The sequence below is a fragment of the Homo sapiens genome, chromosome 8 (genome assembly GCF_000001405.40).
Source record: "Homo sapiens chromosome 8, GRCh38.p14 Primary Assembly".
NCBI lineage: Eukaryota > Metazoa > Chordata > Mammalia > Primates > Hominidae > Homo > Homo sapiens.
In genome coordinates this window covers 22,929,662-22,953,423 of record NC_000008.11, presented here as the reverse complement: position 1 = coordinate 22,953,423, position 23,762 = coordinate 22,929,662, and the positions used below count along the sequence as shown (strand labels likewise).

At 45.4% G+C, this 23,762-nt stretch overlaps 2 protein-coding genes across 3 annotated transcripts in view, besides 2 other annotated features; one reads left to right on the top strand and one right to left on the bottom strand.

Moving 5' to 3' along the window:
- The window catches only part of RHOBTB2 (Rho related BTB domain containing 2), a 69,387-nt gene extending 66,776 nt beyond the window's left edge, over positions 1-2,611 (bottom strand). The window contains exon 1 of one of the 2 annotated variants that reach the window (XM_047421609.1): positions 2,521-2,611. The gene's annotated coding sequence lies outside the window, so the exon portion shown is untranslated. The remainder of the gene's footprint in view (positions 1-2,520) is intronic. The other variant, XM_047421611.1, reaches the window with a different exon arrangement.
- Positions 30-660: an enhancer, noted in NCBI's record as "H3K27ac-H3K4me1 hESC enhancer chr8:22810277-22810907 (GRCh37/hg19 assembly coordinates)". NCBI's record gives its function as "activates a minimal SCP1, AML or CMV promoter by ChIP-STARR-seq in primed H9 embryonic stem cells {active_cell/tissue: H9 hESC(primed)}" and the evidence as "EXISTENCE:reporter gene assay evidence [ECO:0000049][PMID:30033119]".
- Positions 661-1,292: an enhancer, noted in NCBI's record as "H3K27ac-H3K4me1 hESC enhancer chr8:22809645-22810276 (GRCh37/hg19 assembly coordinates)". NCBI's record gives its function as "activates a minimal SCP1, AML or CMV promoter by ChIP-STARR-seq in primed H9 embryonic stem cells {active_cell/tissue: H9 hESC(primed)}" and the evidence as "EXISTENCE:reporter gene assay evidence [ECO:0000049][PMID:30033119]".
- The window catches only part of PEBP4 (phosphatidylethanolamine binding protein 4), a 227,827-nt gene continuing 216,411 nt past the window's right edge, over positions 12,347-23,762 (top strand). The window contains exon 1 of the mRNA NM_001363233.2: positions 12,347-12,469. The gene's annotated coding sequence lies outside the window, so the exon portion shown is untranslated. The remainder of the gene's footprint in view (positions 12,470-23,762) is intronic.

Here is a 23,762-nt window from a genome sequence, read left to right as displayed (position 1 = left end):
CCCAGGAATGTCAGGTGGTCATCAAGTGATGGTCAGACTGTGGTTAGTTGTCTCTCTAAAATAATAATTGGTAGGAGCCAGCACCAGGGAAAGGCAGTCTGTCAACACATAGAAACACCTGAAGCTGGTGATCAGCAACAATAAGATCTTAGGAGTTGGGAGAGTGGGCTCAAGCATGCGCACCATGGGGCAAAATGGCGGAGTGTAACTGGTACATGACGTTCCTCTAGGAACACTCAATTGGTAAGGGAAAAGTGCCTCAAATGAGCACGTGTATAACTCCAGTAAACACGCCGCACATGTGGTTCCTCCTAAGTGCTGGCAGGCCACTGCGCAGGTGGACAGCCCACCCCAGGGGAAAAATCAGGGGAGAAGGGATGCAATTCCCCAGAAGCATGCCAATGTATAAGACCCCAAGTCAAAGGCCATACCAAGCACTTGATCTCTCAAGTAGCCCACTTGGTGCTCTTCCAAGTGCACTTTACTTCCTTTTGTTCCCGCTTGAAACTTTTTTTTTTGAACAGGAGTTTCACTCTTGTTGCCCAGGCTGGAGTGCAATGGTGCAATCTCGGCTCACTGCAATCTCCGCCTCCCGAGTTCAAGCAATTCTCCTGCCTCAGCCTCCCATGTAGCTGGGATTGCAGGCATGCGCCACTATGCCCGGCTAATTTTTCATATTTAATAGAGATGGGCTTTCACCACATTGGTCAGGCTGGTCTGGAACTCCTGACCTCAGGTGATCCACCTGCCTTCGGCCTCCCAAAGTGCTGGGATTACAAGCATGAGCCACCACACCCGGCCTCAAAAGCTTTGGAATACACTTTCACTCCTGCTGTAAAACTTGCCTTCCTCTGTCACTCTGCCTTATATCCTTCAGGTAAATTCCTTCTTCTAAGGAGGCAAGAATTGAGGTTGCTGCAGACCATTATGGATTCACTGCTGGTAACAGTATAAAGAAAGTGCCTTTATTCCAAGACTTAGCTTTGGGGAAGAAGTACAGACTCCTGCCTTTAAGGGTACTGCTTTACTTTTGGGGCAGAAATCAGGGGATTTTAAAGGGGGACTTGGCATGCATGCATGGCATGCAGAGGAGGGAGCGAGCAGGTGGGGGTCTGCATGACTCACTTTGGTGCCTTATCTACCAGGTGGTTCAGCTGGTGCCACCACAAGCAGAACTAGGTTGTACAATGGCCATTGTTTCAAGATACTCGCCAGGTGGGACAGAGTTGGGTCAAGGGCATACTTTAGGTGGCAAATTGACTGTTGTCTCTCCCAGTGGGTCAGCGTTCTGGCTATGGAGGTTCTAAGTAAGCACGTAGTTAGATAAGCTTGCCCTGTAGGGAATGCCTGGTGAAGGGAAGGTAAAGGTTGTAATTACATTTCTAAAGAGCTAAGTAGAGGCTCTTTAACCATGGTGGCTCGCTCCTGTAATCCCAGCACTTTGGGAGGCCGAGGCAGGCGGATCTCTTGAGGTCAAAAGTTTGAGACCAACTTGGCCAACATGGTAAAACCCTGTCTCTACTAAAAACACAAAAATTAGCCAGGCTTGGTGGCGCACACCTGTAATCCTAGCTACTCGGTGTCAGGCCTCTGAGCCCAAGCTAAGACATCATATCCCCTGTGACCTGCACGTATACATCCAGATGGCCTGAAGCAACTGAAGATCCACAAAAGAAGTGAAAATAGCCTTAACCGATGACATTCCACCATTGTGATTTGTTTCTGCCCCACCCTAACGGATCAATGTATTTTGTAATCTCCTCAACCCTTAAGGAGTTTCTTTGTAATCTCCCCCACTGTTAAGAAGGTTCTTTATAATTCTCCCCACCCTTGAAAACGTATTTTGTGAGATCCAACCCCTGCCCCCAAAACATTGCTCCTAACTCCACCGCCTATCCCAAAACCTATAAGAACTAATGATAATCCCACCACCCTTTGCTGACTCTCTTTTCGGATTCAGCCCGCCTGCACCCAGGTGAAATAAACAGCCTTGTTGCTCACACAAAGCCTGCTTGGTGGACTCTTTACATGGATGCGCGTGACACTCAGGAGGCTGAAGTTGGAGAATCGCTTGAACCCGGGAGAAGAAGGTTGCAGTGAGCTGAGATCGCGCCACTGCACTCCAGCCTGGGTGACAGAGTGAGACTCCATTTCAAAAAAAAAAAAAAAAAAAAAAAAAGAGCTAAGTAGAAAGTGGGAAACGGGGAAAAGGAGGAAAGAAAAAAGAAAGGAAAAAAAAATTTTTAAACCTTTTTGTCTTAGAAAAATGGGGTTGCTCAGTTACATCATGATAGGATAGGCTATGTTACAGTACTGATATCAGTTAAGAGGAAATTATTTGGGCAGATAGTAAGGGTAAGGAAGTCCTTGGTAAGGTTTTTCTTCTAATGAAAAACAGCCCCCAAATCATTTTCTTTTCTAACAAAGAGCAGCCTATAAAATAGAGCTGCAGACATAGACAAGTAAGCTAGAAACTTGCAGCGGTGAATGCCGGCAGTTGTGCCAATAGGAAAAGGCTACCTGGAGCTAGGCATGTTCCAAATGGCGGCTCCGTGTTCCCTTCTCTTTGCCACTCCTTACTTCCACGTGTACAGTAAGAAGCAGACAACACAGCACAGACCAAGTGGAAAGCCCTTTGCATAATAAGATTAGAATGGGGTAGCTAGCCTACCCTGCGTGTTATGTAAATTTCACAACTGGTCCAACCAATCTGTGGGCCCCATGTAAATCAGGCACCACCTCCTCAAGCCAGTCTATAATATCCAGTGCACTCAGGCACAGGCCAGAATTCCCGTTGAGACCCCTGTCTCTCTTGCAAGAGAGAGAGAGCTGTTCTCTTTTCTCTTTCTTTTGCCTATTAATCTTCCACTCCTAAGTTCTCTCCTGGTGTGTGTCTGTGTCCTTAACCTTCTTGGCTGAGACAACAAACCTCAGGTATTTACCCCAGACAATGACGCCACTTCAGTATCATTAAATGATACAACTTAAGAGAGATAATATTTTCACTAGATAGAGTGGGCCAACAGCAAGTTGCAGTGTTGCTGCCTGTCTTAGATAGGGGTGGGGAGAAACTGGAGGAGCTCAACCCTGAAGAGAGTGAAGAGCTCCAGTCTTCACCATTGCAGATAGGGGCACATGGTCTCCGTTGGCTGAGAGGGGCTGGCATTCTTCCAGCAGCCCCATGCTTCCAACATGAGCAACTGGGAGGGTTCTGGTGGGTCCTCCAGAAACACCTTCCTCCAAGGGACCCAGTGGGTGAAGCCATGGCATCATCTGTTTATAATTGAAGGCCTGTGGACTCTATTAATTTAGTAGGAAACCTGGTGACCAAAGGAAGAAGGTCTCGTTGTCAAGTGATATTTTCTTGGGAGGCCCAAGCCCCTCAAAAAAAGTTTTCCCAAGGACCCCTACCAATACCAAGACAGAGAAGCTGCCATCAAGAAATATATGACCTACTTGAGAAGGCAAGATCTGCACAGGTAGAAAGTCAAGTGCAGATGCCCCTTGACCTATGAAGGGGTTACATCCTGATAAGCCCATCATAAATGGAAACTATTATAAGTCGAAAATGCACCTAATACCCCTAACCAACTGAGCATCGCAGCTTAGCCTAGCCTACCTTAAATGTGCTCAGAACACCTACATCAGCCTACAGCTGGGCAGAATCATCTGGCACGAAGCCCATTTTATAACAAAGTGTTGACTCTCTCATGTAACTTACTGGATGCAGGACACAGCAGCATGTGGTATCAGGTTGTTCACCCACGTGATCGTCTGGCTGAATGGGAGCTGCACTCTCTGCACTGCCCAGCATCACGGGGCAGTATCCTACCACATACTGCTAGCCCAGGAAAAGATCGAAATTCACAATTTGAAGTATGGTTTCTGTTGAACGCATGTTGCCTTTGCACCATCATAAAATTGAAAAATCATAAATCAAATCATTGTAAGCGGGGGGATGTCTATAATGATGTCTCAGCCTGAGTGATGCTGGCCCAGGCGACCATTAGGAAAGCTTGAAGAAGGCACCGGGCCAGAGCTGGGCATTTTAGGTGGCGTGGGATTTGGTAGCCGGGTAACGGGGGTAGAGAGCATTCCCAAGGCAGGCCCCAGACAGAAGGGGAGGGAGCTAGAGGAGGCCCAGAGACAGGGCACTGGGGACAGCCTGATTGTTCAGAAATGTTATTACTCCCTAGCCAACCAGCTTAGGAAGTCCCCCCAAGGCCACTCATTTCAGAAACCTTTCCCAGTCACATCTATGGAAAAATACTCAGGCTGCACATATACCCAGGCTGGGCCCCAGGCCGGCCTTTGGGGAAGGCTCCTTCCCTCCATCAGATTGCATTCCTGCCCCACAGGATTGCGCTTCCGAAGGGAGACACACAGGGATCGGCAGTGAAGTCAACTCAGGCACATTCATTCAGAGTTGCCAGGGTCATCTGATCAAGGACAGAAACACCAAATCATAGTCCTCAGAGGTGAGGTGGGGAGAGGGATCAGGAGAGCGCCATGGGAAAGAGTGGAGGCCCAGGGTCAGTGTGGCTGGCTTAAAACCCAGCCACTGCCATTGACCAGCAGTGAGCCTTGGGCGAGCTCTCCCACTCTCTGTGCCATTTCCTTGCCTGAAAATGGGGCCAGTCGCCGCACATCTCATAGAGTATTTCTGAGGATAAAAATGGGCAACACGGGTCAAGAACACAGAAGAGCAGACAGCAAAGGTGCAACAGAGGTGTGTTCATACATATTGGCCCACTCAGTGAGTTCTTGACTATTTACCAGCAGAATTATTCTGCAGGTATATAAATTTTTTTTTTCTTTTTTTGAGACGGAGTCTCGCTCTGTCACCTAGGCTGGAGTTCAGTGGCGCGTTCTCGGCTCACTGCAACCTCTGTCTCCCAGGTTCAAGAAATTCTCCTGCCTCAGCCCCCTGAATAGCTGGGATTACATGCATGTGCCACCACACCTGGCTAATTTTTGTATTTTTTTTTTAGTAGAGATGGGGTTTTACCATGTTGGCCAGGTTGGTCTCAAACTTCTGGCCTCAAGTGATCCACCCACCTTGGCCTCCCAAAGTGCCAGGATTACAGGCATGAGCCACTGCACCCGGCCTTATTCTTTAAAATATACACTAAACAGAACATTACTGTAGAATAGCTTGTACAGGCCCAGGCTCTCACCAGTCAGCTTTCCTTCCCCACACTTTGCATCCACAGTGGTTCTTGAAGCACCTCCCTAGAGCAGATGTGGAAAAACCACTGCTCCAAATCCATCCTATTCTCAAGAGTGGGATCCCTTCAGCAATGTTCCTGGCAGGACATAGCTCCCCCAGAGGGTCCCTTGAAGGAGGGCTCTCTGTAGGAAAGCCAGACATTCACACCCACCAGAACCCTCCCAGATGATCATGTCGGGAGCACGGGGCTGCTGGAAGGATGCCAGCTCCTTTCTGCCATCTGTATCAGAGCTTGGGGCTGAGCTGGTTCCTCTGCCTGGGATAGTGAGAACCCAAGCTCCTCATGCTCCCCTAGGCTGGCTCCTCCCATTTCTCCCCACCCTGGGCAGTATCTAAACACTGTGTTGATGGGTCCCTTATGAATCCTCAGGTGGTCCTGCAAGGGACCAGTCATCTCATCAGTGGTGGCTGACCTGATGCTGAGCAGAAACCTGCTTCTGGGTAGCCTGATCCATTTCCCCTCTGGAGCTACAGAGGACTAGGCTTCCCTCAACCCTTCCACCCGCACCCATCTGGCATTGCTTTGGGAGATGATTGCTACATATAAAAAGAAAACAGTCGGCCAGGCATGGTGGCTCATGCCTGTAATCCCAGCACTTTGAAAGGCTGAGGCGGGTGGATCACTTGAGGTCAGGCGTTGGAGATCAGCTTGACCACATGGCGAAATCCCATCTTTACTAAAAATACAAAAATTATCTGGGCATGGTGGCAGGCACCTGTAAACCTAGCTACTCCGGAGGCTGAGGTACAAGAATGGCTTGAAACCCGGAGTGGAGGTTGCAGAGGTGGAGGTTGTAGTGAGCCGAGATCACACCACTATACTCCAGCCTGGGCGACAGAGTGAGAGTGTGTCTAAAAAAAAAAAAAAAAAAAAAAAAAAAAAAGACAAAGTGAGCTCCACAACGTCCCACCCTGACCTTAGCAGTTACCTTCCTGAAAAAGCTCCCTCCCAGGTAGGCAAACATCATGGATAAGGCCAGGGTAAAGAGGAAGAAAGGTCAGAAGGCCCAGGAAGGCCGCTGTTGTGTTTCCTGAATTCTCAAATGACTTTCCCGGTGAAGAGCAAGAGCCTGGCCTTGTCCCAGACCCAGTCTTTATTCCTTGGCCGGTGTCTGCAAATGTTCTGACACATGGGCCAAGCCTCTCACGGCTCCCAGCGCACACTTGCTGTTGGTGGCTTTGGGCTTAATGACTTGGCTGCCTTCACTCCTCCACCGGGCAGTGTGACAGCCATCAGCCCTCAAACCGAAGGCTGCAATTGGTGCGAGGACTCATTGAAGAGGCGCTTCAGAGCCAGGGCCGCTCTAATGAGACTCTGCAGCAATACCTAATCAGATGTCAGAGCTTGGGACTCAGACAGGCCTTGAAGGATTCTATGCAAGAGTTCTAGTCCCCCTCACAGAGAAAAGGATGAACTCACGGTAAACAGCCTCCAAGACTCATTGCAAAATACCTTCTCTACGGTGAAGTCTTCCTCAATTCTGTTCTCACAAGTTTCCCTACTAGTTTACCCCTTTGTTATAGCCTTATCACAGGCTGTCTTGTTTTGGTGTTGGTTAGATAAATGTTCGTCTTTCCCATTAAACTGTGGAGGTGAATATTGTGTTGCATTTATTGTGGCAGTAAGCCTCAGAGCTTAGGACATTGCATTGTACGTGGCTAGGCAAGGATTTTTTTTTTTTAATTGAGATGGAGTCTCGCACTGTTGCCCAGGCTGGAGTGCAGAGGCATGATCTCAGCTCACTGCAACCTCCGCCTCCCGGGTTGCCAGGACTACAGGCGCATGCTGCCATGCCTGGCTAATTTTTTGTGTTTCAGTAGAGACGGGGGTTTCACCATGATGCCCAGGCTGGTCTCGAACTCCTGAGCTCAGGCAATCTGCTGGGATTATAGATGTGCGCCACCGTGCCCAGGTGGCCCATGGATATTTAAATTGCCTGGGCAGCTACTCTACTCACCTTTCCCAGAAGGGATCAGCTAAACTCCGTTCTAGACCCAGCTTAAACCACTTTTTTTTTTTTTCTAGTTGCACACTGGTATAGTGGGAAGGGAGCACACAGCCTCCGAGGTACTCGACACCTGGCCTGGAAAGGACCCCAGTGGAAATCTGTTGATTAGATGCATGCATGAATTAATAAGATGAGACACAGGAGAGGTATCAAAGAGGGAAGATCCAAAGTGTCACAGTTTGGGTGAACTGAATCAAAGAGATACAGCCCGCACAACAAAGGTTCGTTGTCCACAGGCCTTTGGACTGAGGCTGGAAAATCCAAGTGGCCCAAGACACCCTCGTGCAGGGAGGAAGCATACAGGCTTTGGATTCAGGCAGATCTGGGTTGGGATCCAGCTCTTCCATTCACTAGCTGTGTGACCTTGGATAAAGTTTTCAATCCCACCAAGCTTCAGCTGTAAAGCAGGGTAAGAGTCCCCATGCCAAAAGGCTGTGGGAGGAGGAAATGGAACAGTGCTGGTTACACGCACTTACATGCTCCTTTGCACACAGTGAGTGCTCAGTCAATAAAAGCTGTTGTTGTCATTGGAACAGCCCTAGGGGCACAAAGCATCCACGTGGAGCAAAGACCTGGAGGCAGAGAGTGGGGATGGAAAAGACTATCCCCAGCCTTGCCTTTCTACAGAGAAGCTCAGGAAACAGGACGGGCGGTATCTGAGCTCCTTGGGCCTATTGCAACATCTGTTTGCCCTGCAGTTTTCTCTGGAGGCTCTCCAGGAAAGTGACAGGCCTTATTTAGCACAAGATGATGGAAGCTGACACTGGCTAGCTGAGAAGATCTTGTGGTTCCTCCGCAGATCAATAGCCCCAAGGAGCCCCTTATGGCACTGATTGCCTGGAAGAGATGCCCTTACTGAACTATCATCCCTTGGCACCTCCTGAGCTGCTGTCTTGCAGTTTTGATGGATCCCCTCTCTTTTCGTTCTCATCAGAGTTAGAATTTTTCTTGGTTTAAGAGGGAAAAGATAAGGCTGGGCACTGTGGGTGATGCCTGTAATCCCAGCACTTTAAGAGGCCAAGGTGAGAGGATTGCTTGAGCCCAGAGGTTCGAGACCAGCCTGGGCAACATGGCAAAACCTCGTCTTTACAAAAAAAAAAAAAACAAAAAAATTACCCAGGTGTGTTGGCACGTGCCTGTAGTGCCAGCTACCCAGGAGGCTGAGGTGGGAGGATTGCTTGAGCCTGGAGGGTTGAAGGCTGCAGTGAGCTGTGATCGTATCACTGCACTCCAGCCTGGGCGGCACAGCAGGATCCTGTCTCAATAAAGAAATAAGAGGGAAAAGATGGAATCAAACATACTATGTGTCAAACACCCATGCTCACCCTTCCCCTTCCTCGTCTACATGGCCCATGGGTTAGTACACCCACTCTAAAGATGAGGAAACAGGAATAGAAAGAATAGGAAGCTTGACTAAGGCACAAGCTGGCAGTGGTAGGTCCATGCCCAAAGCACATATCTTCTCTCTTAAAAAGGAGTTTTGCCAGTATAGGCTCTCTTCCCATAGTTTCGGGCCAGGAATGTTGGTGCCAGCCTGAAGCCTCTCCACTATGACCTTGTTAACCTCACAGAAACCCACACGGAGAAATGGGTTAGTTAGGAGGACTTGCTGGAGAGAAGACAAGTGCGTAAGTCAGCTCTTATTTAAGGAAGAATCAACTTTTCAGCATGCCCCAGTTTCCCATCTGTAGAATAGTCTCCTGTCTTCTATCCAGCTCTTGGAGATGTTGTAAGGCTGAGTGACAATACGAAAGGGGGGCATCCCGTGCTGCCCAGGGTTCCCCGATCCAGCCTAAGACTTGCACGCTGTCCCCACCCCACCTCTCTTGGTCCCTTGTGTTTTGTACTCCAACAATCACATCCTGCTCCTTGTCCACCAGCCTCCGCACCCTTCTGCCCCAGTGCCTTCTCACCTCCTCCTGTCCCTCTCGCAAAGCCTTTTCTGACCCTCACTCCGTAAGAGAATCATACCTTCTGTCTTGATTGTATTGGTGGGATTTTAACTGACAGAGGTTACCAAGTGACAACACGAAGAGGCCAATGTCACTGAAAGTATTTATTATCTATAGTCTCCAAGAGAAGGGGCATACCATATCATGCAGGGCCACATGGGGAAGCAGCTGGTAGGTCAGGAGGCAGGAGGAGCCGGGACAAAGTAGAGCCCTGATTGTGTTTCCTATGGGAAGGAAAGAAGGAAGGGGCAGGTTGGGTGGCTGAGCTGGTTGAGGATTGGCTGGTTTGTATGATGTTGGTCTGGGGTGATTTAGGGCAGGGGTAATACTGGCTCGGTGTGACAGTAGATAAAGGAGGTGGTTGGGGGTTGGGGAATGAATTGGCTGATGTGCACATGAAAGGCAAGTTCACAGGCAAGTTATTTACTATCTTAGGAATTAGCTAGCCCTGGGAGGGACAGTCTCTTCCAGGCCAGCAGGGCCCTCAAGATGTCAAACCATCATAAAATACAGAAAATTAAAAACATAGGCAGGCACAGTGGCTCATGCCTGTAATCCCAGCACTTAGGGAGGCCGAGGCGGGGGGGATCACCTGAGGTCGGGAGTTCAAGATCAGCCTGACCAACATAGAGAAACCCCGTCTCTACTAAAAATACAAAATTAGCCGGGGTGGTGGCACATGCCTGAAATCCCAGCTACTTGGGAGGTTGAGGCAGGAGAATCACTTGAACCCGGGAGGCAGAGGTTGCGGTGAGCCGAGATCGTGCCATTGCACTCCAGCCTGGGCAACAAGAGTGAAACTCCGTCTCAAACAAAACAAAACAAAATTTAAAAAAACATGACTGGCTGGGCACAAGGGCTCACACCTCTAATCCCAGTGCTTTGGGAGGCCAAGGCAGGAGGATTGCTTCAGCCCAGGAGTTCCAGACCAGCCTGGGTAACATAGTGAGACTCCCATCTCTACAAAAATTTTAAAAATTAGCTGGACAAGGTGGTGTGCGGACTGTAGTCCTAGCTGTGTGGGAAGATCCCTGGAGTCCAGGAGGTCAAGGCTGAAGTGAGCTATGATTGCACCACTGCACTCCAGCCTGGGCAACAGAGTAAGACCCTATCCTCTAAAAAAATTTTTTTAAAAAACATGATTAACGCACCCTCCTCTTTAATCTGGGAGTGCTTCTATGACTGAACTCAGCACACAGTTGGTGATTTTGTTTTTTTTTTGAGATGGAGTCTCACTCTGTTGCCTAGGCTGGAGTGCAGTGGTGTGATCTTGGCTCACTGCAACCTCCACCTCCCAGGTTCAAGCAATTCCCCTGCCTCAGCCTCCCAAGTAGCTGGGATTATAGGTGTGTGCCACCACACCTGGCTACTTTTTTTGAAGTTTTAGCAGAGACGGGGTTTCACCATGTTGGCCAGGCTGGTTTCAAACTCCTGACCTCAAGTGATCCGCCCACCATGGACTCCCAAAGTGTTAGGATTACAGGCATGAGCCACTACACCCGGCCCACAGTTGGTGATTTTGTTTTCTGTGTTTTTTTGTTTTGTTTTGTTTTCTTTAGACAGAGTCTCACTCTAGGCTGAAGTGCAGTGGCACAAACATGGCTCACTGTAGCCTCTACCTCCCAGGCTCAAGCATTCCTCCCTCCTCAGCCTCAAGGTGTGCACTACCACACATGGCTAATTTTTTTCTTTCTTTCTTTCTTTCTTTTTGTAGAGATGGTGGGGGTGGTGGGGGGTGGGGTGGTGGGGGTTCTCACTATGTTGCCCAGGCTGGTCTTGAACTCCTTGATTCAAGCAATCCTCCTGCCTCAGCCTCCCATTATGTTGGGATTACAGGTTTGAGCCACCACACCTGGCTGTTTGTTTGTTTGGATGCTCATCTCCCTTCTAAGCTGTGAGTTTATCAAGAGCGGGATCCTCACCTTGTTCATCTTTGCACCTTCAGCACCTGCCGCATGCCTGCTATTTATCTAGATTGAATACAAGGACTCCCCAGCCTGGCTGCATATGCGAGTCACCTGGGAAGCATTTGAAACCCTCCATGTCTAGGCTTCACCCTCCGAAATTCTGGTCTAATTCACCTGGGGTGGGGCCAGGCATTGGTGTTTTTCACGAATTCCTCAGGTGCTCTACTGTGCAAAACTACTGGGTAAGTGTTTGACTTCTCATTGATTTGTTGATTTTCCTGGGAGGAATTCTCTAGAAAGAAAGTAAGGAGATGGTTCCAGGTGTGGTCATTTAAAACACAGCAGGAAACCCAGGACCTGAAAACCACGTACTTGCCCTGGGCTTAGTTACCTGATTGGCAGAACCTTACCCAAGTGTGAGCCAGCCTGGAAGACCTGGGTCTGAGCCAGGTGGTGGTGGTCTCCATTATTCTGCAGGCTCCAGGCCACACTTGTTGGGGAAGGGGATGATTCTAAATCCCCGTGATGGCCAGGTGCGGTGGGTGGCTCACACCTATAATCACAGCACTTTGGGAGGCCAGGGCCAGTGGATCACCTGAGGTCAGGGGTTTGAGACCAGACTGGCCAATGTGGTGAAACCCCGCCTCTACTAAAACTACAAAAAAAATTAGCTGGGCATGGTGGTGGGTGCCTGTAATACCAGCTTCTCAGGAGGCTGAGGCATGAGAATCGCTTGAACCCGGGAGGCACAGCTTGCAGTGAGCCCAGATCGAGCCATTGCACTCCAGCCTGGACAACAGGAGTGAAACTCCGCCTTAATCAGTCAATCAATGCCCGCAGACTGGGAGCTCTGAAGATAGTTGTCAATCCCGATCTCTCCTGTCTGTGGCTGAGGGCCTGTTGCTCTCCGTGGTCAAACGTTGGACATCTTTCCACGGACGCTGGTCTCAGTGGTTCCTCCCTCCAACCTTCTGCACCTGTCTCTGCGGCCTTCTTTTCCTGCACTCTAGTGTCCCTTCTGCCTGACTCTCTGTGCATCTTGAAAGGAGAAACGGTAAGAGAATTGTCTCCGCAGTTTCCACTCTTTTCCTTAGAATCCTTGGAAGGAGGAATGCTGGCAAACCCACCCATTCTTTTTTTTCCTATTCTCTCCTGCCCTACATATCGGCTCCTCCCTGGAACTCCCCTGGAACTTTCTCCAACTGTCTCCCCAACCACCAACAGCTCCCTCCTGTCCTGTGGCTCTAGGAACCTTACTGAACCTCTCAAACTCTCAACATCCGCTGGCTCTGATTACCTTAAGGGCCCAAACTGAGGGGCACCCTGGAGGGAACTTTCTCCCCTCGTTCTCCAGGCCAGAAACCTGTCAAGGTGTGTACCTTCCCACAGCCAGCACCCAACAGCTCCCACACTGTTCTGGACAAGTGACAAGGGCTCTTCTTCCCTGTTTGTGTGCGGTAGGAATTTGCTACGAGAGAGGAGACAGAGGAGAGAAAAAACACCTTGGCCTAGGGAGCTATTAGAAATTCGTGGTAAAGGCTGGCCGTGGTGGCTCACGCCTATAATCCCAGCACTTTGGGAGGCCAAGGCAGGCAGATCACGAGGTCAGGAGATCAAGACCATCCTGGCTAACATGGTGAAACCCCGTCTCTACTGAAAATACAAAAAAATTAACCAGGCGTGGTGGTGGTCACCTGTAGTCCCAGCTGCTCGGGAGGCTGATGCAGGAGAATGGCATGAACCCGGGAGGTGGAGCTTGCTGTGAGCCATGATTGTGCTGCTGCACTCCAGCCTGGGTGACAGAGCAAGACTCCGTCTCGAAAAAAAAAAAAAAAGAGAAATTCATGGTAAAGGTGGTGTTTCCAATTTTTTCACTCTAGCGTGATTTGAGCACATCATTTGAGGCATTATTTGTGACTTTCTTCATGGCGTTTCTAGGTGCCTATCTATGAGCCTCAAACATTTCTCTAATTCTCCTCAGAAAGGCCACTTTGGTGAATTTCTCACTGCCTGAATTTTGGGCTGCGATGAGCCTCACTGATTTCAGGCAGGCCTTACTTCTGACAGATGTAGTGAGTTTCTTTCCTTTGTGAGGTCCTCATTCTCCCTTCCATGATATAGGAAGAAGGATCCCCATTTCCTCCCATCCTGAGAAATATAGGGGGAACCAGAGATTGACTCTGTCCCTGCAAAGAGGGGCAAGGTAAATACATAGCTTCACTAGGCTTTAAGTTCAATTCTCACCTCCACCAGATGGACAAAACATTCAACCTTTCAAGGGTGACATGACGGCAGGTGATTGCCTGAGGCACCACCATTTCATAGCCCCTCTGGAGCCTGCCATTCCATGGGTGAAGTGATTCATTAATAGATGCAATGTGCATCTGTTAATGAAATGGGCTTATTAAGTCAACTGTTGATTGCTGAGACCAACAAGCTGGGGCTACCTAAAAGAAGAATTTGTGTCCCTGGAGTGGGAAGGTCCTGGCCCCCAGCCTCTGGCCCGAGGTCTAGCAGGACCTTTGGATAAATGGAGGGGTGAGGGAAGGGGTCAGAGCTGGGTTTATCTCACAGACACTCTCCTGACTCCTGGGTAATAAAATTGTTGGGAAAATCCAGCCCTGGAGCTCTCTTTGCCAGCCCCATCATTGCCACCATGAATTCCTCTGCCTTCTGCTTGGTAGAAGGAAAGCGAACATCTCTTAAAACAACAGCAAGTGCAGATACCCTGTAACAGAGCATTCCTCATTCCTTCCTCCCATTTCTTAGACATTGCTAGCATTCATGAACTTAACAATAAGCCATAATCACTTGAGACATTCTTGTTCTTAACTATTTTAAACAAACAGTTATCTATAAGGCCAATTAAGAATAATAAAGGTAAAATATTTTCCTTTACTTCCATTTAGTCCATCTTCATTGTTCTTCCTTTATGTAGAGCCAAGATTTCATTTTCCTTTTCATTGAAGGGCTTCTTTTAACATTTCATGCAAGGCAGGTGTAAGGGCAAAATCTTCTCTCAGTTTTTCTTTGTCTTCATATCCTCTCCACCTTTGAAGAAAAATTCCCCTGGATACAGATTCTAGGTTGATGGAAGTTTTAACACTTTTTAAAATATTTCACTCCATTCTCTTGTTGCTTGCCTGGTTTCTGATGGGAAGTTTGATGTAATTCTTATTGTTCATTTAGAAGTAAGCCCCACTCCCTGAGAAAAAAACAAAAGAAATTATATTTTTATACTTTTACATTTCAAGACAATTTTCAAATTGGTCATCTGAAATGAAAGGTACATAAAAAGCAACAAAGAGTTGATAACAAAAGATGGCCCAAGTGCATGTTGGGTGACTTTGGAATTCTTTCTCTGTCTCTAAGTAGGACAACCAAAGGTCAGAATAGTTCCTTTACAGCATACGGTTTTTATATGTGCGTGCTTATTTATGTAACGATTTATTAAGCATCTGCTATGTTCATAGTGCTGTGGGGAATGCAGAGACAAATGGGGCCCTCACAGAATGAAGTACGTGCACAGAAAACTAGAGCAGAAGGCAGAAATCAATGAATGGGAGGTGGGAGGAGCAGCTCTGCTCCTGGAGCTTCAGTGAGACCCACATCTATAATGGGGGGGAAGTGTGACCTTTAGGAATTCAATATCCACCCCTCCCTCTCTGATTTTCTCCCTTTCCCAATCCCCGAGGGGTAATGGAGCACCTGCTGGTCCCAGGCACTGTACTGGTGGCAGACACAGCAATTCTTAGGCTACATGGGGTCCCTCCTCCATGAAGGTAACAGCCTAGTGACAGAGAAATACAAGTAAATAAACAAAAATGGCCAGATACTATTATACTGTCCTGGTGGAAGTACTGCAGATGCTGTCTGCAGATATGACAAGATACCCAGGAAGGTACCCTAAAGGAAGTGATGTTTAAATAGCACATGAAGGTGAGCAAAAGTAAGCCAGGTGGGTCATGGGGCAGGAGACAAAGGTGTCCGTTACAGACAGAATGGTTTGTGCAAAAAGGCCTAGAGGTGGGAGAGAGCACAGCTGATTGGGAAGACAGAGAGTAGTCCACACAGGCTGAACAAGAGGTCTACACAGTGAAGAGGACGGAGTGGCCAGTGTTGTCGAAGGGGGTTCTAGAGAACACCAGTTCCTGGGATTTTTTTTTTCTCTCATTCTGCAGGTTGTCTCTTCACTGTCTTGATAGTGTCCTTTGATGCCCAAAAGTTTTCCATTTTCATGGAGTTCAATTTGTCAGTCTACTTTTGCTGCCTCCGCTTTTGGTGTCCTATGTAAATCAATGCCAAATCCAATGTCATGAAGATTTTCCCCTGTGTTTTATTCTAAGAGTTTTGTGGTTTCAGCTCTTACATTTAGATCTTGATCCATTTTGAGTTAATTTTTATATCTGGTGTAAAGCAAGGATCCACCTTCATTCTTTTGCATGTGGCTATCCACTTGTCCCAGAATCATTTTCAGCACCCTTGCTGAAAATCATTTGAACACACACACACACACACACACACACATACATACACATACACACATATGAGGGTTTATTTCTGGGCTCTCTAGTCTATTCCGTTGGCCTATTTATCTGTCTTTATGCCAGTACCAAACTATTTGGATTACTGTAGCTTTGTAGTAAGTTTTGTAATCAGAAAGTACGAGTCCTTCAACTATGTTTTCTTTTCAAGACTGTTTTGACTATTTGGGGTCCCACAAGATTATATATAAATTTTAGGATGGGTTTTTCTATTTCTGTAAAAAAAAATTGACATTTTCATAGGAGTTGCAATTAATCTGTAGGTCACTTTGAGTAACTTTGTCATTTTAACAATATTAAGTCTTCCACTCCATGAGCATTGAATGTCTTTACATTTATCTCTTCTTTAATTTATTTTAGCAAAATTTTGTAGTTTCAGTGTGCAAGTCTTTCACCTCCTTGGTTAAGTTTATTCCTAGTTTATTCTGCTTTATGTAATCATAAACAGAGTTGTTTTCCTAATTTCCTATTTGAATTCTTCGTTTTTAGAGCAAAGAAATGCATTTGATTTTTGTTTGTTGATTTTGTAAATTACAACTTTACTGAATTTGCTTATTAGCTCTAACAGTTTTTCTTTTTTAAAAAATTAGAGTTTTCTATATGTAAGATTGTCATCTGCAAACAGATAATTGTACTTCTTCCTTTCTAATTTGGATGCCTTTTATTTCTTTTCTTGCATAATTGCTCTGGCTAGAACTTTCTATATATGTTGAATAAGAGTGGCAAATGCATACATCCTTGTTTTGTTCCTGATCTTAGAGGAAAACTTGAAGTCTGTCACCATTGAGTATGTTGTTATCTGTGGGCTTTTTGTATATGGCCTTTATCATATCGAGGAAGCTTCTTTCCCTTCCTAGTTTGTTTTTATCATGGAAGTGTGTTGAGTTTTGTCAAATGCTTTTTTTGCATCAATTGAGATGACCATGTAGTATTTTTCCTTCATTCTATTAATGTGGCGGTATTATGTTGATTGGTTTTTATATGTTGAATCATGCTTGCATTCCAGAAATAAATCTCACTTGGTTATGCTGTATAATCCTATCGGTGTACTGTTGAATTATCTATGCTAATATTTTGTTGGGGACTTTTGCATCAGAGTTTCTAAGGGATATTGCTTTGTGGTTTTCTTTTCTAACTTTGGTTAGAAAATTGGCTTTGGTATCATAGTAACGCTGGCTTCACAGAGTGAGTCAGGGAGTATTCTCTCCAATGTTTTGGAAGAGTTTGAGAAGGATGAGTGTTCATTCTTCTTTAAATGTTTGGTAGAAATCACCAGTAAAACTATCTGGTTCAGAACTTTTCTTCACTGGGGCATTTTTGATTACTGCTTCAATCTTCTTACTAGTTGTGGATCTATTCAGGCTTTCCATCTCTTTATGATTCAGTCTTGGTAGGTTTTATGTTTCCAGGAATTTGTCCATTTCATCTGGGTTATCAAATTTATTACATAACCAACAACCTTACCCATTGTTTATATTAATCTCTTATCACCCTTTTTATTTCTGTAAAATATTATTTATATTTTTATTTTTATAAATTTTAGAGTAATCTCCTCACTTCATTTCTTATTTTAGTAATTTGAGTCTTCTCTGTTTTTTAATTAATCTGGCTGATAGTGTCAATTTTACTGATGTTTTTCAAAGAACCAACTTTTGGTTTTGTTGATTTTCTGTTTTTCTGTTCTCTATTTTATGTCTGTTGCAATCTTTAGTATTTCTTTCTTTCTGCTAGCTTTGGGTTATCTTGTTCTTTTTTTTTTTTTTCCCTAGCTCCTTAAGGTGTAAATTTAGGTTGTTGATTTGAGATCCTCCTTCTTTTTTAATATAAGCATTTACAACTTCTCAATGTAAGCTTTTATAGCTATTTTACAGCATGTACAGCTTTCACTGCATCCCATACATCTTGGTATACCAGTTGTTTCCCTTATCGAAAACACTTGGGACAAGAAGTATTTCAAATTTCAAATTTTTCAGATTTTAGAATATTTGCATATATGAGATATTTTGGAGATGGGACCTAAGTCTAAACATGAAATTTATTTATGTTTATATATACCTTATACACAGCCTAAAGATAGTTTTATACAATATTATTAATAATGTTGTGCATAAAACAAAGTTTTGACTGTGACCCATCACATGAGGTCAGGTGTAGGATTTTTTCACTTGTAGTATTCCATAGGCCTTCAAAGTTTTAAATCTTGAAGCATTTCAGAATTCCAATTTTTGGCTTAGGGATGTATTGTGTTTTTTGTTTTTGAGACAGTCTCACTCTGCTGCCCAGGCTGGACTGCAGTGGAGCGATCTCAGCTCACTGCAACCTCTGCCTCCTGGGTTCAAGCAATTCTCCTGCCTCAGCCTCCCAAGTAGCTGGGATGGGACTACAGGTGCCTGCCACCATGCCCAGCTAATTTTTGTATTTTTAGTAGAGACATGGTTTCTCCATGTTGGCCAGGCTGGTCTTGAACTCCTGACCTCAAGTGATCCACCCACCTCGGCTTCCCAAAGTGCTGGGATGACAGGTGTGAGCCACCATGCCCAGCCAGTCTCCCATTTCTTTAATTGGTCTTCTGCCTAGTTGTTCTATTCACTATTAAAAGTGGAGTACTGAAATTTCCAATTACTGTTGTTAAGCTACCTATTTTTCCCTTCAATTCTATCCTTGTATGCTTATATATTTTGGATCCCTGATGTTTGGTGCATATAGGTTTATAACTGTTATATCTTCTTGATGAATTGATTCTTATCAATATACAATGCCCTTCTTTTTCTCTTGTAGAACTAGACTTTAAAATCTGTTTTGTCTGATATTAATATAGCCATCCCTGTTCTCTTTTCGTTACTGTGTACATCTTTTTAAATCCTTTCTCTTTCAATCTATTTGTGTCCTTAGAGCTAAAGCAAGTCTATTGTGGACAGTATATAATTGAATCATTTTTAAAAAATCTAATCTGCCAGTTTATAACTTTTGACTGAGGCATTGAACCCAATTAAATTTAAATTTAAATCCATTTACTGATAGACAATGACTCAATGACTTATTTTGCCATTTTGTTATTTGTTTTCTGTATGTTTTAGCTCTTCTTGCTTGCTTGCTTGCTTGCATTCTTAAGAGATGGGGTCTCACTATGTGGCCCAGGCTGGCCTCAAACTCCTAGGCTCAAGTGATCCTCTCACCTCAGCCTCCCAAGCAGCTGGAACTACAGGCATGTGCCACTGCATCTGGCTGCTTTTCAGCTTTTTGTGTTCCTCATTTCCTCCATTTCTACCTTTCTTTACATTTAGTTGATTTTTTTTGTAGTGACATGTTTTATTCACTTCTCATTTCCTTTTGTGTATATTCTATAAATACATTTTGTGGTTACCATGGGAATTACATATAACATCCTAAAGTTATAATGATCTAATTTGAATTGATACTAACTTAACTTCAATTGCATACAAACATTTTACTTATACAGCTCCGTGCCCCCCATTTTGTGTTACCGATGTTAGAGTTTACATTATTATATACCCACTAACAAAGATTTATAATTATTTTATTCATTGTCTTTAAATCCTGTGCTATAATTTAGATATTTGTGCCCCGCAAAACTCATGTTGAAATTTGATCCCCAATATTGGAGGTGGGGCCCAATGGGTGGTGTTTGCATCTTGGGGGCAGACCTTTCATGAATAGAATGCAGTTCCAGGGGAGTGCATTCTCACTTTATTAGTTCCATGAGAACTGGTTGTTAAAAAGAGCCTGGCACCTCCCATTTCTCATTCCTGCTTTCTATTTCACTGTGTGATTTCTGCACACTCCAGCTTCCCTTTCCCTTCTAAAATGAGTGGGAAAAGGCTGAGGCTTTTACCAGATGCCCAGTCTTCCGGCCAGCAGAATTGTGAGCCAAATAAACCTCTTTATCAATTATCCAGCCTCAGGTATTCATTTATAACAGCACTAAATGGACTAAGACATCCTGTATTTAAAAGTGGAATTACAAACCAAAATTCCAACAATACTGGCTTTTTAATTTGCTGTGTGTTTACCTCAAACAAAGATCTTGATATATTTCTTCACCTAGTTTCAGCTTACTGTCATCTTTTCATTTCAACCTGAAGATCTACTTTCAGCATTTCTTGCAGGGCAGTGCTGGTGGTAATCAACTCCCTAAGCTTTTGTTTATCTGGGACTTTCTTAATTTCTCTCTTACTAATATTTTGGAAGATACTTTTGCTGGACATAGAATTCTTAATTGACAACTTTTCTTCTTTCAGTACTTTATATCATCCCAATGCCCCCTGGGCTTCAAAGTTTCTGCTGATAAATTGGCTGATAATTTTATTGAGGATCCCTATACATGATGAGTCTTCTCTCTTATTGCTTTCAAAATTCTCTCTTTGTCTTTGGCTTCCAACAGTTTGATTCTAATATGTCTCAGCGTAGGTCTCTTTGAGTTTATTTTACTTGAAATTCCTTGAGCTTCTTGGGGCTTTAGATGGTCTGTTGTATGTCTCAACTGTAATCTTTGTCTTCAGTGTCTGAAGGTCTGTAGTCGGTCTGCTGGTTTCATAAGCAATGCTTCCCCTTTTCCCTTAGGCAAAGCAGAGACTACTCCTGCAAGTGGACCCCAGACAGATTAGAGCATTGCACATGATGGGTCTGGCTCTCCTTCTTTGAGTTTAAGGAAGAGCTGGGGCTTGAGCTACTATCTCCTCCAGACCAATACTGCTGGCAGTGGAGGTGGAACAAGGTAGAAAGAAAATGAAATTTCCAACCTTTTTTTTTTTTTTTGGAGACGGAGTCTTGCTCTGTTGCCCAGGCTAGAGTGCAGTAGTACGATCTTGGCTCACTGCAATCTCCGCCTCCTGGGTTCAAGTGATTCTTCTGCCTTAGCCTCCCAAATAGCTGGGATTACAGGTGCCTGTCACCATGCCTGGCTAATTTTTGTATTTTTAGTAGAGATGGGGTTTCACCATGTTGGACAGGCTGGTCTTGAACTCCTGACCTCAGATGATCTGCCCATCTCAGCTTCCCAAAGTACTGGGATTACAGGCATGAGCCACCGTGTCTGGAAAAATTCCTATTATTTTGAAGGAGGCTTTTAAAAATTTTTTGAGACAGGGTCTCCTTCTCTCACCCAGGGTGCAGTTAAGGAGGCTTTCCTTGATTAGGCATTTACTTGGCTGCTCTAACCTTTGGCTGTTTTCCAGAGCTTCTATAAAGTTAGTTCATCCAATTCTCTGTCTCTCTGGGGGTGTGTGTGTGTGTGTATATGTGTGTTTAGCTTTCCATGAGGGAACAAGAGCTTGGAGCTTCCTAATCATCCATTTTGCTGACATCCCCAGGATGACTTTTTTTAAACAGCTTTATTGCTATATGCTCCACTTATCTCACAATTCATAAATTTTGAAGTGTATAATTCAGTGGTTTTTAGTATATGTATAGATATGTGCAACCATCACATAGGCAATTTCAGAACATTTTCATCACCTTTAAAAGAAACCTCATACCCTTTAGCTATCATCCCCATACCTCTCATTCACGTCTTATCCCACCTCCACCTCCAGCCTTAGCAACCACTAGTCTACTTTCTGTCCCTGTGTATTTGCCTATTCTGGACATTTCATATAAATGGAATCATACAATATGTCCTCTTTTGCGACTGGCTGCTTTCACTTAGCACAGTGTTTTCCCCCATGGCTCCTGGGCCCCACCCTGGGCTCTGTAGAAGGCACAGGATACTGAGAGTAGAGTGGGAGCAGGATTGCATGACGGAGTAGCCAGATTACTGGACTGTTCCAAATTTGAAGTTGCATCCAACAGCTGCAATGCGAAGATAAGGGCGAAGAAATTGAAGATGTTAGCAAGTGAATAGTACAAAGGTTTGTAAGACCCAGGTACCAGAGGGAAGGTAGTCAGAATAGGTAAGGAAAAAGGAGAGTGGTCGAGGGACCAGAGTTTAGAATCAAATGAAAGACTAAGTGCAGAGAAGTAACAAGAGGGTAGAGGAAGGAGAAGAGATGGTGATCAGAAGAGCTGCTTGAAATTAGCTGGGCATAGTGGTGCGTGCCTGTAATCCCAGCTACTTGGAAGGCTGAGGCAGGAGAATCACTTGAACCTAGGAGGCGGAGGCAGCAGTGAGCTGAGATCATGCCACTGCATTCCAGCCCCGGTGACAGCGAGACTCCACCTAAAAACAAAAACAAAAACAAACAAAAAAAACTGCTTGAATTTAATATTTTAGGGATGGAGCAATTTGTAGTGATGAAAATGTCCAAGAAAGTGGTCATGGGAAGGGAGGCTGGAAAAGAGGGAGGGGAAAATGTTGGTAGAGGCATCCAAAATAGGCAAATTCATAGAGACGGAAAATAGATTAGGGTTGTCAGGGGCTGGGGGTAGGGAGGAATGGGGTGTTACTGCTAATAAGTACAGGACTTCTTTTAGGTTGATGAAAATGCTCTGTACTTTGGTAGTGATGGTTGCACAAGCTTGTGAACATACGAAAACTCACTGGATTATATATATTAAAAGGGTGAATTTTATGTGTGAATTATATCTCAATTAATTTTTAATTAGGAATCAATGAAAAGAATTCAGGGGAATTTGTTCACTACAGTTCAGAGATTCCAGAGGGCCTATGTGGAAAGGTTTAGGAGGGAGAGAAATAACAAGAGTCTGTGTCTGGGTAGAGAAATGAAGTGAGGCCTAGGCAGTGATTGGAGGGTGTCAGGCACAGGAGGCCTGGAGGGATAAGAAGGGAGTGAAGAGTTTCAGCAGCAGTGGTCCAACAGATCCCAGTAGCTGGAGGGACCAATGTGTCTCAGGAAGCCACAGGTTTGGCTTGAATGGTGGTGTCTGGAGGTGGTCCCAGCCCAGGTAACTGAAGGAAGAGAGGGGGACTTCAAGGGTGGGCACCAAGAAATCTAGCAATGGGACTTTCCAGGAGCCGGGGTGGTGATGGGGAGGGAGAATTGTCACTCCGCAAGCTTGAACACGGCTTTCAGATCTTAGGTTTCAAGTATGAATCAAAGTCCTGAAAATCCCCAAGAGAAAGATCAGGTTTGAAAAATCCCGAGAACCACTGCATTCTGCCAGATCTCTCTGCACAAAAACAAGCCAGAGAAGGTTAGATAAATAAGCAAAAGGCATCCAGGGCTAAGGGCCAACCTGAGTGATTAGTTTCCTACTGATGTTTGTACAGAGTTAAGACCTGTTAAGTGAAAATGAGGATGATCAGAAACGGAAGTGGCGTGTGTCATGCACTTAAACAAGAATTTTATTAAGCTTCTATATACTCCATGTAAGATGCTCAGAATGCTGGACAGTCTCCGTGCTGCCTCCGAGAAGCTTATAGGCTGGGGGGATGAGGAGATACTATCACTAAGCAAATAACTATAAAATAATTTATTACAACTATATGAGAATAATGAAGAAAGCAGTAAAGTGCTCTAATTGTTTATAACAGGAATCTGATGGACCCTAGGGGAAAGAGCAAGTTTCTCTTAGGAAACGACATTTCAGCTACCCCCCTAATGAAGGTGGGAAGCAGGGTCAGTGCCTATCACAGCCCTGGCATAGAAAGGAGCTTGAGGAACCCGCCAGAGGTAACATGTGAGAGGAAGAGGAAGTCAGCTAGAGAGACAGGAAAAGCCTGATCTCGCAGGGTATTGTGGTCCACGTGAAGGACTCTGGGTCCTTCTCCCAAGAGCAAAGGGAATGTAGAGGGAGTGAGTGAGAGGCAATGGAGCAGCTACAGAGTGCAGTGGAGCCAGGTGGTTAAGAGCGTGGACTCTGGGCTGGGCGCGGTGGCTCACGCCTGTAATCCCAGCACTTTGGGAGCACACAGGTGGATTACTTGAGCCCAGGAGTTCGAGACCAGCCTGGGCAACAATGCAAGACCCCGTCTCTACAAAAAATACAAAAATTAGCCAGAGCCGTGGTGTGCCTGTACTCCCAGCTACTTGAGAGGCTGTGGCAGGAGAATCCCTTGAAGCCCAGAAGGCGGAGGTTGCAGGAGCCAGCATCACCCCATTGCACTCCAGCCTGGGCGATGAGAGTGAGACCCTGTCTCAAAACAAAGCATGGACTCAATGGACTCAACCCAGTTTCCACAGGTTCAACCAGAGCCTGGGGTT